Source organism: Homo sapiens, chromosome 9, assembly GCF_000001405.40.
Source record: "Homo sapiens chromosome 9, GRCh38.p14 Primary Assembly".
Classification (NCBI taxonomy): Eukaryota; Metazoa; Chordata; class Mammalia; order Primates; family Hominidae; genus Homo; species Homo sapiens.
In genome coordinates this window covers 26,706,801-26,725,423 of record NC_000009.12, presented here as the reverse complement: position 1 = coordinate 26,725,423, position 18,623 = coordinate 26,706,801, and the positions used below count along the sequence as shown (strand labels likewise).

Below are 18,623 nucleotides of genomic sequence, written 5' to 3'. Positions count from 1 at the left end.
GTGGCAATAAGGTAGATATAAACAAATTGATTTTTGAGAAAATGAGACCAACTCACCAAATATTTAATTTATATATATACACACACATGCATACAGCTACAAAAACTATAACTGAATACCAATAACTAAATATGACTTGTCCATGTGGATACTGTGCCTAAGTGTCTTATCAAACAATGGAACATACAAGAAAAATTGAAAGTAGAGTGCTTTTTGAGTAAAAGAGGGTTAGACATGAGGACACTGCCTTATATCTTTGAATATCTTATATCTCTTTGTGTCTTTGAAGATTTGTTTTTGTATTATACTATTAATGGAAAGAGTAGAACAGAAAGGGGAATATGACCCAAGTTTATTCTTCCTTGCTCAGAGTGAGGAAATAGCAGCTTTCAAAAGGTAAAAGCCAAAGAATTTGAAATAGGTGGAACAAAAAAGATTGATGATTGGAATAAATGGAGATTTCCTTAATTTTTTATTCAGCAGATATTTGCCAATGGCCTATTATGAACCGTACCCTAAAAGCTTCACAAAGGAAAAGTGAATGGGCAGACGGGAATTTGATGTTTCTAAAAGACATGTGTGACCTGATGTGGAATTAATATACCAATATGTGAAATTTCCAGAAAGTAAGAGAATGTAAGTGGGGAGTGAGGAGTAAAGGTGAGTAAAGGTGTGTGGTAAATGAGATGGGGGTGGGGGGGAATGACAGTTCCAGAAACCATATGGGAAGAGAATATGAAATGCAGAAATGTTTTAGATAAAAATGTCATGAGCATTGGCAAAATAATTAGAAGCTGGGCTGCCAGAAAGCAATGGAAAAGAATATGATTAACATAAAAATGTATTGACAGGCTTGAAGGAGTTATTGTGATGATCACACCTGGAATTAAGGCACCATGGAGGAGCTAACTGGAATGAGACTGCAGAGATACAATGGGCACAATACAGTATGTATTGTAATGAAGGAGGAAGCACACGTTTATTTTTGGTAAGAAAAGAGCATGACTCTTACTTGCTGTAAACAGGAGAACTTGAACATACAGAAGGTGAAGAGGAAAGGAACCAACATTTTTTGGCCTTACTGTCTTTAAGCCACTTGACATAGGTCATCTCGTTAAGCATAACAGCTCTAGGATATTATACCCATTTTGCATAAGAAAAAAACCAAAGCTCAGAAATTGTAAGTAATTGGCCAAGATCACACAGCTAGTAAGTGGCAGTGCTGGAATTCCAACTCAGGTGCACCTGCTTTAAAAGTAAGCAAGGGTGTAGCAGTCAAGATCAGACCAGGAGACCAAAACCACACCGATTCATTTTACTAAATTGAATATTAAAAATTGCACTAAAGGTGTTAATGAACTGAAAATGCAAAAAGTGAACATTAAGATAATCACAGATGTGGCAGCTTCGGGAAGCAGTGACAAGGCATTGGGTTGGGGGAACAAATGTCTGCGAGGAGGTTGAAATCGTCAAACCTAGGAGCTTGGAGGAAAGGCCCCCTGGGGCTGGAACCCAGAACTCTGGGGAAGATGCACTCCTTGCTGGTGCTGGTGTCTACGAGAGCGTGAGTCGAGGCTGTTTTGTAATTGCAGGAAAAACTACAAACTGGAATCAAATCCTGCTACAGGAGCAAGTTGCTGCTGCCAGGGTGAAGAAACGCTGCTGGGGTGATGCCCATAGCAACATGACGCCGACAGGACAGGCAAGTCCCTTCCACCCTCCGGCTTCCCTTAGTGCCCCCTGTTGGCTGAGTCTAACAAAGCAGCTGGCAAGGTGGTTCTCAGAATTCCTGCCCCATCACAAAGCCCAGCACAGAAGGGTGGGTCTGAAGCGGGATATGTAGCTTGATGATTGGAACAAAGAACAGAGGCTAAGGAAAACAGTTTCGTTATCTCCCCCATAACAGTTCAGAAGAGTTTTATGCTTAACAGAAGGAAAGACAGATTTTAATATTGGCTTTGGAGGAAGGGACATAAACAAGTTACGTTTCACTGATTTCTGCAAATTCGTGCAAAATTAAAACTACAGAATACATTGGAAAGAAATATACCTTTAGAATCTCCAAGTACATAGAGAACTGCTTTACTTAGGCGTTACATAAATACAAACGCATATTAATTACCCTGTTCAGTGAGGTAGAAAAAAGACAATTAATTGTTTAGCTGCTGAAGATTCTTTATTATTAGGACAGAAGGACAATTAGCTTTAAAAGCATTGCTCAGAACATGTATTTTTTTTTCCCCAAATGTTGCTTTTTTTTTTTTTTTTTTCCGAAACAGAACAAACCAAGCCCTTTCCCGCAAGAACTACATTGTGAAGAAAGCAAATGCTAAGTAGGAATTAGAAAAAAGAAAACATGCCTAAAGCCCATGGGAATGACAATTCCTGGTTAACTGTAAAAAATGGGGAATGTAATTGAGACAGATGACCAGATTTAGGAAAAATAAACCTCACCATTAAAATCTAATTAAATATTTACATTTCAGCATTAAGTTTCTTCTCAAAAGTTTTGTGAGCAGCGGGGTGACAGTGAAGATTATTGACTATAATTTGCCGAAGTTTTTTAAACTAAATTAGTTTTGTGCAATGTATGGAAGGTTTACTCAGCCGCACTTATCCAGCGGCTGCTTTATTATTCTTTTAAAGTGAATCATTTATAACTGTTCTCAGAGATCTTTTATCAGCTACTTATCTCCTTCAACTGGACTTGTGATGCCAAGGGATAAAATGAATTGCTGGCTAATATTGTGAGAATTAATCAGACCACAACAGCAGGAGAGTAATGACTTACTTACAGTCAGATATTTGCATTTGGCAGTAAAATCACAACAAAAATATAAGGATGTTTAATCTTTTGCTTCGACTGGAGCACGGGAACATGTTGGCAATACAAAAGAAATACAATAATCGTGTGTTTTAATTTTGGGTGTTTACCTAATCTGAGGGATTTATTTATTCTAGGAAGAAAGCTCTTATTTGATGTGAAGATTTTTTTTTCATTTTGCAGCACCTTAGATTGGTCTTGTTTCCTGAAATTTTTTTTTTTTTTTCTGTTAGAGATCTTTGGACAGATGAACTGAGCCTTTTGCCCCTCATCTCACCTTTCTCCAAAATATGCTGGTTCTGTTATCTTTGTTTCCTTTCTGTCCCTTGGCCCCTTGGTAACTTAGAAGAAAGGAGTGGCACAACCAAGACCAAGGGTGGCAACGTTACTGCTGCTATTCTGTTGAAATGATTTCATGTGCTGCTTGTTCTCTTTTCTTAGAGTCTGGCAGTTTCAAAAAGTAGGATTAGGTTCTTAGTTGCTATGTAAACACTAAAGAAGGTATGCAGTGAGAAATTATTTCCTGATTTGAGTCTATAAATCAAATGCTTTGGAGAGCATTTCCTATAATCAGAAGCCACTTTCTTCAATTTATATGTCTGTATCAGTGTGTTAATGGCATCCATTACTGTTTGGTTCTGGTAAGTTGTAGAAAGTTGTCCTCCTCAGTAACTGTATGGTTTTTGGCCTTTTCTGGATACATGCCCATGTGTATGTCGTATACATATGTTAGTGTGCCTGTTCACACTAATACACATATTTTTTCCCTTTTCAGAAGTCGTGTAGTATCTAAGTGGGAAAGCTAAGTAGAAAAGCACATAAACTCAAAGAGACCTAAGTTTAAATCTCTTTTAAAGGCTATTTCCTGGTCATGTTATTCACCTCTTGGAACTTTATTTTCCTCATGAATAAAATGAGGATTACAAACCTACCTTGCAGAGTTGTTGTGAGGATTAGAGATTATAAATGAAACGTGCCTGACACTTGCTCAACAAATGACAGTAGCGATTGTTCCTATAATCCACGGATAATCAGCACCTTTGGATTTCTTGCACTTCTTGTGGGTTTCTGGTTAAAGCAAAGAATAAAGCCTGTACATTTGCCTGGAGCAGTCCATGGATCGTAGCTTTGGAAAAGTCTAAACTCCGAGTCTACCTTCAGACTGGTAGCTCTAGTCAAGGACAGGGAGCCCCCACACAAAGCAGAATCTTGTGCATCTTGTTTTATAGTCTTTCTGAAGTCTATCTTCCTAATTTCCAGAGCAATTTGCTTTTTCTTCTAAACTTCTCAGGGGCAGAGACTGTGTTTTAGTTTTCTTTACATCACTAGAGCTGATACACAGTAGGTTCTTTTTTTTTTTAATTTTTTTTTTTTTTAGATGGATTCTCACTCTGTCGCCAGGCTGGAGTGCCGTGGCATGATCTTGGCCCACTGCAACCTCCACCTCCCAGGTTCAAGTGATTCTCCTGCCTCAGCCTTCCAAGTAGCTGGGACTACAGGCGCGTGCCACCACACCCAGCTAATTTTTTGTATTTTCAGTAGAGATGGGGTTTCACTATGTTGGCCAGGGTGGTCTCGATCTCTTGACCTCGTGATCCACCTGCCTCAGCCTCCCAAAGTGCTGGGATTACAGATGTGAGCCAGCGGACACACAGTAGGTTCTTAGTAAATGCTCAGTGAAATGAATGACTATACTGAGTGTTTTTTTTTTTTTTAATCCCAAACTGGCAGTGACATCAGTACTCTTTTTCCAAGATGCCACTCACTTCTGCTTTGCTATTTTGCTAAGAAACTGGTTGTTTGACCTTTGATCAGAATTTGATTCGGAATAGGATCTAGGGATGGCAAATGGGTTGCACCTTGTGTACCAACACTATTGGGAGCAGATCTCTATTGGATTGTCATCCAACCTTTAGTTTGAAAGAATGGCAGTCAGTTAGTGGTGGCTGTCACAGACCTGGGAGTGGGGAGAAAATATGTCACGTATTTACTCTCCTTGATAGAGTTACTTCTTTTACCCATTAGAATTTTAACCCTCTTTGAATGTTTTCCTTGCATTTCATCAGCCTGGCTGGTTGGAGTGGAGGGAGATTGAAAGGATGAGAATCCCTGAATCTCATTCTTTCCTCTAGCACTACTTGAATGTCACTGTTGTAAAGGATGACCCTCTTTATTCACAAGGAGACAACACTGGCTTTAGGATATCTCTTACGGCCAGAGGCTGGGCAAATGTCCTACTATCAGGTCAGTATCTGGTGATGTCTGAGTGGGGATCAAACTTCTTAAAGTCTTCTGTTGAGAGTGAAAAGGAAATGTCCAATGTAACAACAGACAATGACATCACCTTCCATTTTGGCAAAACCTGGACTTAATTTGGAATCCTGATCCAAAATCCTTACTGATGTTAGGGAGGTTATTTCCTTGAGCTCCTATCTTCATTAAAATGGGAATAGAAATATCAGACTTATCATAGGCATAGGGAAGGTACAGAAGGAATTTCTTGTTATAGTGTAATTCGAACGGATATTATTATTATTATTTTGAGACGGAGTCTCACTCTGTTGCCCAGGCTGGAGTGCAGTGGCGTGATCTTGGCTTACTGCAAACTCCACCTCCTGGGTTCACGCCATTCTCCTGCCTCAGCCTCCGAAGTAGCTGGGACTACAGGTGCCCGCTACCATGCCCGGCTAATTTTTTGTATTTTTTAGTAGAGACGGGGTCTCACCATGTTAGCCAGGATGGTCTCGATCTCCTGACCTTGTGATCTGCCTGCCTCGGCCTCCCAAAGTGCTGGGATTACAGGCATTAGCCACTGAGCCCGGCCAGGATATTATTATTATTGAAACTAGGTTAATCTTTTAAAATACAAATGATTCATGTTGTAAACAATTCCAACAATACAAACAAATAATAGGAAGAAGAAATCAACTCAAATCACACCACTCAGAAATGAGGAGGCATAACATTGTGATACGCATCTTCCAGAAATCTCTCTTCAGGATAAATCATAAGATACCAACAAACTTAGTGACTTATTTTATTCAAGTGAACAATACATTCATAGATATCTTTCTATGCCAGTGAATTTTAATTTACATAGTATTTCTTTTTAACTTTTCATTATGGAAAATTTCAAACATACAAAAACATTCAAAATATTATATAATCCCCCCATGGATCTATTATCTAATTTTGTTTCATCTGTATCTCTCTTTCACTCCTCACCTCATCACTGGATCATTTTTAAACAAATCCCAGACATTGTGTCTGTATTAGTTTCCTAGGGCCGTCGTAACAAACTATCACAAACAGAGTGTCTTAGAACAACCAGAAGTTTATTCTCTCACAACCAGGAGGCCAAAAATCTGAAATCAAGGTTTTGATGGGTTGGTTCTTCTGGAGGCCTTGAAGGAAAACCTGTTCCATTCCACTCTCCTGGCTTCCTGTGATATTGACCATCCTCAGTGTTTCTTGGCTTGTGGCTGCATCTCTCCAATCTCTGCCTCCATCCACATGGGCTTCTTCCCTGTGTGTGTCTGTGTGTTTCTCTGTGTCCTCTCCTTTGTTTTTAATAAGGACACCAGTCGTTGGATTTACAGCCCACCCTAAACCCAGGATGATTTCATCTTGAGATCCTTAATTACATCAGAAAATATCCTATTTCCAAAGAGGATCACATTCTGAGGTTTCAGGTAAATATGAATGTTGGGGGGACACTATTCTACCCACCTATATCTGAAAACTAATGTTTTATTGTCTGAATATGCCACGGTTTTTAACCTATCCTGCTAATGACAGTACTGGTTGTTTCTGGTTTTTTAATGAAGCATACATCTTTTCACTCTTGGGTAAGATGGCTGAGTCAAAAGGATTTACATTTTCCATTCTGATACATGTTGACAAACTATTTCCTAGAAGAATCATACTAATCTGCACCCCCAAAAGTACACCAACACTGGATTTTGTCCATTTCATCCATTTAGTAAATGGGAAATATTTTTATTTTTATTTTTATTTTTTCAATTTTAAATGAGTGGGGGTGACTTTTTTTTTTTTTTATTTAAAGAAAGAATATGCAACAGTGGTGGAAATGAGAGAGAAGAACAGCTAGGAACGCTTGAATGCTGAGGCTCAAAAGTGATTCAGATCAAATCATTTCCACCACTTGTATCAAGAAGTTCAGGGGAAAAGCAATAGAGAAATGCTATTTATCTTCTATATGTAGGGTATATACATTACACTATGGGATGCTTATAGTAGAAAATGAATGCCCTGCAGATCAAGGAAATAACCTCTTTAAGTTTCTGTGGACAATTGTAACAAAATGTTCAATCTAGAGGAATTATTGCCCATTGGAGGTCACTTCTTTAACCAAGGGGCAATACATATTTCACAGCCAGGTTGTACATTAGGCTTTTGTTCATTTTGAAAAAAGAAAAAAAAAGTCATTCTAGGTATTCTCCTATCATCACTCAGACCTATCAAGTGAGCTAACAGAATTGTAGGGCGTGGCCAATTCTCTGGCTAAAAGTCAAAGGACCTTGGGGACTAGAATCATCAAAAAGGATAGTTTAAGACTTTAACAAAGTCACGCTTTATCCCATATTTTACTTTATTTCTGTTAATAATTTAGATTTAATTATATAATTTTTTTGTTTTTTAGTTACCAAAGGAATGCATGTTCATTTATAATATTTAAATGTTTAAGGTACTACATAGAGTAGAAAGTGAATGCCCCCTCATGTCACCCTGTGGTAGATAATTTGGAATAAATATACATTCCCAGGTTTTTTCTATACACAAACATAATAATTATTATTATTTTTTACAAAATTGAGCTCATGTTGCCCTGCAATTTTCTTTTTCCACTTATTCATACGCCTTGCACATTTTTATCATGGAAGTATATGTAGATCTATTTCATTTTAACAGCTGCAGTGTATACCACTAGAGGGATACATCATTTCCCTACAGATTTGGTTTGTTGCTGATTTTTCACTGCTGCAAACAGTGCTTCACACTATTTGTGTAGAATTGCACATTTTTTGCAGGTATTTCCATAGGATCCATTCTGAGATGAACAATTGCTGAATTCTTTTCACTTAACATGGGAGCTAAACATTGGGTACTCCTGGACATAAAAATGGCAACAATAGACACTGAGGACTGCTAGAGGGGGAAGGGAGAAAGGGGGGCAAGGGTTGAAAAACTGTTTGGCACTGTGGTCAGTACCTGGGTAACTGGATCATTTGTACCCCAAACCTCAGCATCATGCAATATGCCCAGGTAACAAACTTGCATGTGTACCCCTGAATCTAAAGTGAAAGTTGAAAAAGAAAGAAAACCCAAATGTGCAGCAAATTTTTTTAAAAAAGCAAAATAACAATGCAACAATAAAAAATAACATAAATTTAAAAAATAGTAATGGATACTTTACACATTGATAGATTCTGTCAGTTTGTCTCCCTTCCTCCCTCCTCACAAGAAAGGTTGGTCCAGGATCTGTTCCCACTAATGATGCATTCAAGTCCCTGATATTTCCTTTTTTTTTTTTTTTTTTTTTGTAAGTTGGGCACTATCTTTGATTACATGAAACCAAGGCTTCTAAAGTTCACCAAAGACTTCAACTTTCTCTCTAGGAGACACTTTTTGAGTCCATGTCATTCTTCCTTGGCCAAGAGTCAGACTGGTCTGGTAGATGCCCCATGAGACAGAGCACCCAAGACATCCATCTGACCACCTGGAGGATTTAGGGACATTCCTGTTACAGGAATGGTCAGTGCTGGATCAAAAGCCTAAGAGCAGTCCTTAATTTTGTACTCTTGGGCTCCTGGAAGGCAGCACAAATACTCTTCACCTAATAGGCTGTGTAATAATGATGACAGCAAATACCTACTGCGTGTCTACTATGTGCCAGGCAGTATACATATTTCATCCAACTTCATCCTCACCGCAAACCTGAAATGACAATATTATCCTATTCATTTTACAGATGGGGGCTCTAAGACTCAGAGAGATGAAGAGACTTTCCCACAAAACTACTACGCGGCAGTTCCAGGATTTGTATCCGTTGTCGAACCCCAAAGTCCAGGTTCCTTTCACGATCCAGGGCTCTGTCAACAGCGGTACCTTCAGCTCAGGCTTTCATTGGGTCATAATGGGCTACTATAGTTCTCCGATGGGGGTTTTGAACATATCACCTGCTTTTTGAAATTAAACATTATCTCTAACATTTTTTCCTTCTTTCCTTCACTCATTCACTTATTCACTCATGAAATATTTATTAAACATATGTCATGTGCCAGGTAAAAGAAGTGTGGTTCCTTCCCTTGAGGATCTCAGAGTTCAGCAAAGGTATAACCCTGATGTTTACAGCAAAGACATAGCTGTTATAACAAGGAATGTATTCCGGATGTCCTGGTGTGGGGAAAAGCAAGAGAGATCAGATTGTTACTGTGTCTGTGTGGAAAGAGGTAGACATAGGAGACTCCATTTTGTTCTGTACTAAGACAAATTCTTCTGCCCTGAGATGCTGTTAATCTGTAACCTTACCCCCAACCCCGTGCTCTCTGAAACATGTGCTGTGTCAACTCACGGTTAAATGGATTAAGGGCAGTGCAAGATGTGCTTTGTTAAACAGATGCTTGAAGGCAGCATGCTCGTTAAGAGTCATCACCACTCCCTAATCTCAAGTACCCAGGGACACAAACACTGCGGAAGGCCGCAGGGACCTCTGCCTAGGAAAGCCAGGTATCGTCAAAGGTTTCTCCCCATGTGATAGTCTGAAATATGGCCTCGTGGGAAGGGAAAGACCTGACCGTCCCCCAGCCCGACACCCGTAAAGGGAATATGGCCTCGTGGGAAGGGAAAGAGCTGACCGTCCTCCAGCCCGACACCCGTAAAGGGTCTGTGCTGAGGAGGATTAGTATGAGAGGAAGGCATGCCTCTTTGCAGTTGAGACAAGAGGAAGGCATCTGTCTCCTGCCCGTCCCTGGGCAATGGAATGTCTCGGTATAAAACCCGATTGTATGTTCCATCTACTGAGATAGGGGAAAACCGCCTTAGGGCTGGAGGTGGGACATGCAGGCAACAATACTGCTCTGTAAGGCATTGACATGTTTATGTGTATGCATACCTAAAGCACAGCACTTAATTCTTTACCTTGTCTATGATGCAGAGACCTTTGTTCACGTGTTTATCTGCTGACCTTCTCTCCACTATTATCCTATGACCCTGCCACATCTCCCTCTCTGAGAAACACCCAAAAATGATCAATAAATACTAAGGGAACTCAGAGGCTGGCGGGATCCTCCGTATGCTGAACGCTGGTCCCCTGGGCCCCCTTATTTCTTTCTCTATACTTTGTCTCTGTGTCTTTTTCTTTTCCAAGTCTCTCCGTTCCACCTAACGAGAAACACCCACAGGTGTGGAGGGGCAACCCACCCCTTCACCTGGGAACCCAGAAAGGAAGCATCTATTTCTGCCTCCAGCAGTCAGGAGAAGCTTTGCAAATTAGGTAACATCTGAATAAAGATAAATCCTTCATCTCCCACAAAACATCCCTTGATGCAGCTTTCAAAAACTGGACAGGACCAGACCAGCAGTTTGACTTTTGAGGAGAAAAGAGCAAGGACTTAGTGTTTCAAACGGAAAAATGTTATCCTTTTTATCTGATAATAAAGTTTAAAAAATTTAAATAATGAGATGAAACTAATACCTCTGGTAAGTTGGCTGTGTGACTTTATGCATCTTTCAATCCACCTCCATGCACAATTCTATTATAACAATCTTCTAAAATTTGCTTCCTTCACTCCAAAATAAATAGAGGTTATATGTGAATACATTCCTTATCTTTAATCTTTTAAACAGGAGTATATTTCAGTATATGGACTTGTCAAAATTTATTTGTTCAATATCAATGGACACTTTGGTGGGTGCTGATTTTTTATATTGCAAACAACATTGCAAAGGATCTCTCTTTCTATATATACTGCTTTAGAACCTTAAGACTTTGGAATCAGAGAGAACCAAGTGCAGATCCTGGGTCAGACACTTCCTAGCTGTTTTCAAGTTGGCAAGTTACTTATAACTGAATCTCAGCTTCTTCATGTCTGAAACCCATTAACAATACCTATCTCAAAGGGTTATATAAATTAAGTGAGATAATCTTTATACATAAAGGACCTAGTGTGGCACAAAACAAGCCCTCAATAGGTGATAGCTACCAAGTCTGTAGAAAGCTACAGTTCTAGGAAAACAAAGAGTAATTTTTCATCCTAATAGTAATGGAGCTATTTCAGGATTGTGGTATGACGAACTATCTAATGCATAAGGAGATCATAGAAATGGCCTTCCCGCAAAAGCATAAGCCCTGTCTGCACATGTCTTTGTAGTCCATATCCTTGCATGGATATGAAGGTCCCCCTAGCATTTCCCTCCATTTTATTTATCAGATTTAATGTGTCAAGGACACCACCCTGTGTGCCTCAATGGCCAGGCTTAAGAATGCTTTTTCTTTTTATAATGTAAGGCCTTTAAAAAAGAGTATTGGTGATCTATAATCTGGAGCTGTTTCATGAAGTCCTAGATCACTTGCAGTGAGATAAATTGGACCCACATAGTAACACATTAAAAACAGGGACATCTGCACAGCTTCCCCCTAGTGCTTTATAACTGGTCTCTTCCTTTTAAATCCACATCTGTTATATAGCTCCCAAGTAAATGGCACACATTTTGCTTAAAGACAGGACAGACTGTAAGGACTAAATTTTATTTTTTTCTGACCATTAGTGCTTGCCATCAAACAGATTGTGAAAATGCACACATTTTTGAGCTGTAAGCAGGCATTTTGTATGCATTCCCACAAGGAAAACAATTAATTCCCCTTAAAAATATGAGTGTATAAATTTATTTGTTAATATACATATTTGCTTCTTTATTTAGGGAATATTTTAAGATTTGCAGTGGGAAATTCTGAATTTGCATATTGTTATATAATTTAAAGGGGTGTTTTAAAAACTATTTTTTTTTTCAAGAATGGCAGAATCAATAATAGTTGAGACCGGCTGATGTGTACATGTGGATTCATTATACTATTTTTCTACCTTGTGCATATTTAAAATTTTGCTTAATACAAATTAGATTAAGAAGATTTTATTTTTCTGAGCCAAAATACACCCTGTTTCACTGTGCTCTTTCCATAGTAGAACATTAAAAATTTTACATTAGACTGGAAAAGATCCTTAGAGCTTAGTGTAAAATCAAACGGCTGAGAGCAACCAATGTTCTGTTGGCCTTTGATGAGAGTTAAGTGTTTTTGTGGTATTACAATCTGACTGAGATATAGACAGTCAGTGCAATTTACTTTGAATTGTAAATGTTAAACATAAGGATTTTTAAATCACATTCTGTGCTCTCATCTTTTGATTATTTGAGTTTCAGTCTAAGTTTCATTCACTCTTTTTGTCCCCCCCTTTTAACGGCTATTTAACTTTACAAGTGATACAAGCTAAACTCAGAACATGAGAATTAGCATTAGAAGATGTGGTTTTGAATCTCAGTTCTGTGTAACCTTGGGAAAGATTCTCTCTGAAAATCTATTTTTTCATATAGAAAATTGATGTAAAAATAATCCTTCCAGAATTGCTACAAAGATTAACATAGAGAGTGAATAAAATATGCTTTACAAACTGTAAAGCCCCTGCCTTGGAGTATATTGAAATTGCATCCTTATAGGGCTCTAGCATCTCAGAGAATAAACACTTCTGCACTCAGAGTACAGAATATACACAGGGAAAGGTAATAGCCTTCCTTCCCCTCTGTGGGACAGTGGAAAGGGAGAGTTTGATAACCTTATTCACACCACGTAGTGATTTTCAAATGTTAACATGCCCCTGGGAGCTTGTTAGGATTCCAGACTTCCAGACCAATCCCTGGGATGCTGATTGAGAAGGTCTAGGATTGGGGTAAGAATCTGAATTTTTTAATAAGCATTACTGGTAGTGATTCTGATGTAGATGGACCAAAGATTACAATTTGAAGAACATGGTTTCTAAGGTGCAACAAGTTATCCTTCTGAAGGATATTTTAGTTTGAAAGAAGACTCTGGGGGAAAAAGGTATTTAACCCAAAGAAATAAGGCACCAGGAATGAAATGCTAGACAGCAGTGTAGGAAAGAATTTTGAATGGGACCTCCCCAGGGTCTTTCAAATGTTACTCCATGATAATTGCAAGTAGATTTAGATAAGAGCATGGGTTTTTAATTTTTTTAAACTGTGGCTGCCTTATGTTGAAGTCCCTCCAGGTGATTTTGCTTCTGTGTGGATTTGTCCTTAAGGGAATGTTATTCTGGAGACTTTATTTGTATTTTCTGAATTATTTTGAGTGTGATTATTGTTTTGTCAGAATATTATAGCTTTTCCCTTAGTTAATTGACTTTAAAGGTGTTTGTAGCATTGTTAAATGTGATTTTTATTTAGACTTAGGGCTAAAATATTTCCTGTGGGGAACACATCTTTGGCTCAATGGAAAAATAGGTTTAGATTAAAAGAAAATTGCTTTACAGTCAATTTTTTTTTTTTTTTTACAAATTTGGGACAATTGCATTAGATGAGATTGCCCTGTATACTGACTCTCTAAATGTTATTTACCTTTTATAATAAAACTATTATTCAATGTTCTCTTTTTCCTTTTAGGTTTGCCTTCTCCATTGACTGTTACAGTTTGATTTCCTAATTATGCAATATTTAAGTTAAAGAATATGAAAAATGCAAAAGCATTTTGGAAACTCTGGCATCATAAAAATGTAAGAGATTTTTAATGTGAAGCTTATTTCCTCTTCTGTACTCTCTGTGCCATGCCTAGATTCTCAAGAGGTTTGGCACAAAGACATTCTAAATGCACAGTATTCTCTGCCTAGGTAGAACTGTATCTGAAGTCCCTACTCTGTAGCTTGAGATGAGCAAGTTTCATATGTGATGTTTAGTTTCCCTTTGTCTTTTCTAATTCAGGGCTGAGGGTGAAGTTACAAGTGGAGCGATAGATACATCAGGGGAAAAAAAATCTTGCCGGACTATTTTCCTTAATGCTAGTTTTAAGCAGGCTGCTGAGGTATTTTACTATATATACTAGATTTTGCTAATGACCGTTTCTCAAAGTATTTAAAGTAAAACATATCTCCTTTTTATTGTTGTTTAAATTAGGGTGCTATCGGAAGGTAGAATTCATACCAGATGGCTCAAATTAAGGGACTCTAATGGTTTGAGTGTATTCAGATGTGTGAGCAGGGTTAAAAACGTTGAGGCACGCAGACACAGCAATGATGAGAAATTGGTTATATCTAGGTAGAAGCCAGTTGACTGGGAAACCCAGCTGATGGGATTCATCAAGTGATGAGTCAATAAGGATCAACCTCCTGGGATGCAGAACAGAAAAAGTTAGAGAGTAGACTGGGGACGGGAGGAGTTGACAAAGGATATCCAGCACAATTGTTCCTTAGCATCGACCAAATATTTTTTCTTCCATTTGCTTCTCATCAGGTAACATCTTTTTATAATGCAACACTTTGAGTTATTAGTGATTCTTAAGTTAAAGTACTTTCGGCTATAATGTGTGAGCATAGTGATTGGCCAGAGAAATATTAGCTGATCCATTTTTTTTCACATGAATAAGGTGGATTTGGAAATGTTCTAAATGACATGAAACAATTTGTATGTGAGTTTATGTTCTGAGTCACTAGAAAAATTGGATAATATATTTTGCAGGAAATGCATTAGTAGTATCATGGTGCTTAACACATTGTTAATTGTGTACACATGAATAAAGATTGTTCAAAGTGGGTGTTTCAACATAGCTTTCTGATTCCAGGAATTTTTTTGACTTTGTGATTTTTATGTAGCTCCTTTGATTGAGGTACGTTTTTATCATTAAAATTTCTACTTTTATTATAAATATTACCAAATGTGCAAACTATTTAGTTTTATCCTAGACCTAAGACTCATTCTCTTGCTCAAACCTTCTCTCAGGGATGTATTGGAGAGTGAGAGTGAGGCAGAGGTGAAGAATGCATAAATTCCTAAAAAATGATGGCCACACTAAAGAAAATCATGGTATCAAAATGGCAGTGGCAAATTGACTAAATAAAAAAAAGTTATACTTATTTGCACATTATTCTCCATCCTAAATTATGAACAGTTCAGCAGATACTGAGTTTGAGTTTACCATATGAATATAAACTGGTTAACTGCTCAATCACTAAGCTTCAATATTGCCACTTGTCCCTGTTAAACAATTTGGGTTGAAGGAAGGGGAAACCACAAGAGTCTGTAGCATTTGATACAACTAGAGGTCAGAGGAGAACACTAGTGGTGACTGTGATGAGGAGATAGTAGACAGAGTGGCGATGGTTGGTGGACAGTGTTGGTAAGGATGGTGAAGGAACTGTGGAGATGGATATGGGGATGATGAGGATGACGGTGGTAGTGGTGGAGCTGGCAACATTGGTGATTGAACTGGTGCCATTGGTGGTAGAGCTGATGTCGTTTGTGGTGGTGGAACTAGTAATGGAGGTTTTAGAGGTGAAGATGGTGAGCTGGGAGCAGAGCTGGGATTGGAAGTGAGGAAGTGATGGAGAAAGTGGTAGTGGTGGTATTGATAATTGCAAAAGTGTCAGTAGGGCTTAGAAGTCATGAAAGGGGACACCATATGACCTTAAAAATTTTAAAAAATGTGTATTTGGTTGGAAAAAATGATGAAGCTCAGTAAATTTACTTGCAAAGAGATTTATCAAACTAAACACTTTGCAGATGCTCTTGAAGCTTTTCCTTAATTACTGATATTAGCATCATGCTGAGCCAAAAAGTACCACTCCTGTCAATTTCAACACAGTGCACAAGTTCTTCTTATAAATATTATTCAACCCCAATTATTGGAAATTTTTGGAGTGAATCTGGCTTCTCCTATTGAACACTATGCACTTGAAATTTGATTTTTATCTTGAAAGGAATGCTATTTCTTCAGGGATTATCTTTTATCTCTGTTTGCGAAACAGCTGGAAGTGTAGCTACTGAGATTTGATATTTGTCTTCCTGCACTTGACTACCAAGCTAAATAATTTTATTTGTAATCAACAGAATGTACCTTCACAAATTAGCATAAATATATACCACTGAAAGACTGAATCTACAAGCCTGACCTTCTAGTAGATATATGTTCTTTTTTTTGAGAGACAAGGATTTTCTTAGCCTCTCAGACTGTATATTTGAAATTAAACAAAAATACTCAGAGAAACATTTTCCTTTTTTTTATTGTTTAAAGTAAGCCTCCTGCCTTCTCCCTGGCAACAGGTGACTTATTCTTCCAGCTATACAAACCATTTTTGATTCTAAAGACCAGCATGAAGTCTATTCACCAAACTTGTGCTGCTTAAACAACTGAAATATGTGTTCCTATTTGATATAGTTAAGAATACCAGGTACAGAGAAATGTACATTTAATTACCATGGTTCGTATTTGTTGAAATTTGTTATGCAGCAGGAACTTTTCATGTATGATCTCATGGCATGTTCTCTCCATTTTACAGATGAAACGAATGAGGCTTAGGGAGTCACACTGGTACATGGGTCCAGGCAGGATTTGGATTCACCTGCCTACTGGAACCTACATCTTAACCATGATGGTCAGGTTTCTGTCAATGTGGAATTTAAGTCAATTTTCCTTTTTCTACTTGGAAAACCAAGTAGATATATTCTTTTTAAAACCTGTTCAGTTTATTGGAGAAGAATAAGAATTGTCTTCTAAGAGGAATGGAAACCATATGGAAAGTATCCATTTTCTTTTGACTTAGACAGTATTTATTTGAATGAAGAGACTGAACTTGGGGTTAGAAGTCCCAAATGCTAGTTTGGGTTCTGCAATTTTCCAACCATGTGGTCATGACTTGGTCTCTTAATCCTCAGAGGCTTGGAGGTTTAGAGGTTGATTTTCCTCATCTGCCAAATAGAGAAAAAAATCTTCCATACCCATTTTTAGTAACAAATCTGTAAAGATTAAGCATTCTTAGTAACCCTTTACTGAACTACTATAGTAACTTCTTGATTAGTCTCCCTTCCTCTGATCTCCTTGCAAAGTTATTCTGCATACTTTTGCCATCACACTTTTTCTGAAGTGCAGCATTAACCATGGTGCTTGTCTGCTCAAAAACCTTCTTTATCTAACCAGTTACCCATAAGGTAAAGTAAATTTGCTTACTCTGAAATTCAGGGTTCCTCTCCATCTGGTCCCAACCTAGCCTTCCAATCATAGCTCTCAATATTCCCCTTTCATTCGCCTATATGCTGGGTTAAACAGAATTAGTTGCCCATTTTTCCTTGCCTTCATGCCTTGACTTGCTTGTCAGTTACTTATTTTTCGAGCACTGCTATGGACTGAACTTTGCCCCTCAAAATGTATGTGTTGAAATTCTAACTTCTAATGTGACTGTAATTGGAGATAAGACATTTAAGGAGGAAATTACAATCAAATAAGGTCATATGGGTGGGACTCTAATTTCAAAGAACTGGTGCCCTTAATAGAAGTGGAGAGAGATTGCTCTCTTCCCACATGCACCCACTGAGGAAAGACCACATGAGGATACAACAAGAAGGCTGCTGCCTGCAAGCCAGGAAGAGAGCCTTCACCAGAACGCCACCCTGCTGGCTCCCTGATCTTGAACTTCTAGCGTCCAGAAAGGTGGGAAAATAAATTTTTCTTGTTTAAGTCACCCAGTCTATGGTATTTTGTTATGACAGCCCAAAAAGACTAAGGCAAGTACCTACCATGGTTAAAAATTCTGATCTAAAGGGAGCACAGATTTCATTTTTTGATTCTGTGATCTGGATTGCTTTTGATTCTTCGATCTGTGATCGATTTGGGGTTCTGTGATTCTGTGATGGATTCGTGATCTGGATCACTTTTGATTCTGTGATCAATTTGTGATTCTGTGATTCTGTGATTGATTCTTTTTAATTCTGTGACCTGTGATCGATTTTTATTCTGTGACCTGGATAGCTGACTAGTGAGCTTTCCCTCAATCCCAGTGTTACCTGGCTTTGGCTAATCTCCTCCATTGCCCCAGAGAATTTCTAGATTTCTAGTATGACTTAGAACAAGGCTCATTTAGGATCAATGTTTCCATAATGATGGGAAGTTTCCCCACAAGTAACGTGTGAAGATGTGGATGCCTATTCCTTATTGAAGGTTTGAGTAGATAAATCCAGACTGCACAAGACTAATTTTTTTCTGCTTCTAGTGTGAAGATTAATTGCTGAAGTGATCATCAAAATGATTGGCATCTTCTGTTATTTCAGCAAGAATATAAAACTGAGGGGAACTGTTGAAAGAGGACAAAATAAGAAATAATACATTACTGAATAAATTGGTTTTGGAAAAAACAAGGAAAATGAAGTTAATTAAATATGAAATATAATTTTAAGCAAATTGTTTTTATTTTTTAAAAAATTATGTATTTGTTCACCTGTCCTAGTTTTTTTTTTTTTTTTTTTTTTTTTTTTTTTTTTTGAGATGGAATTTTGCTCTTGTTGCCCAGGCTGGAGTGCAGTGGCGCGATCTCGGCTCACGGCAACCTCCGCCTCCTGGGTTCAAGTGATTCTCCCGCCTCAGCCTCCCGCGTAGCTGGGATTACAGGCACGCAACACCACACCAGGCTAATTTTGTATTTTTAGTAGAGATGGAGTTTCTCCATGTTGGTCAGGCTGGTCTCGAACTTCAGGTGATCCGCCCACCTCAGCCTCCCAAAATGTT

The 18,623-nt window shown here is 38.2% G+C and overlaps 1 long non-coding RNA gene across 1 annotated transcript; it reads left to right on the top strand.

Annotated features, from left to right (window-relative positions):
* Positions 1-480: 480 nt before the first annotated feature.
* Positions 481-9,135, top strand: LOC105376000 (uncharacterized). Its single transcript, XR_001746638.2, has 4 exons — positions 481-660; positions 852-988; positions 1,593-6,516; positions 8,817-9,135. It is a non-coding gene; the product is annotated as an uncharacterized LOC105376000 (long non-coding RNA).
* Positions 9,136-18,623: the final 9,488 nt, after the last annotated feature.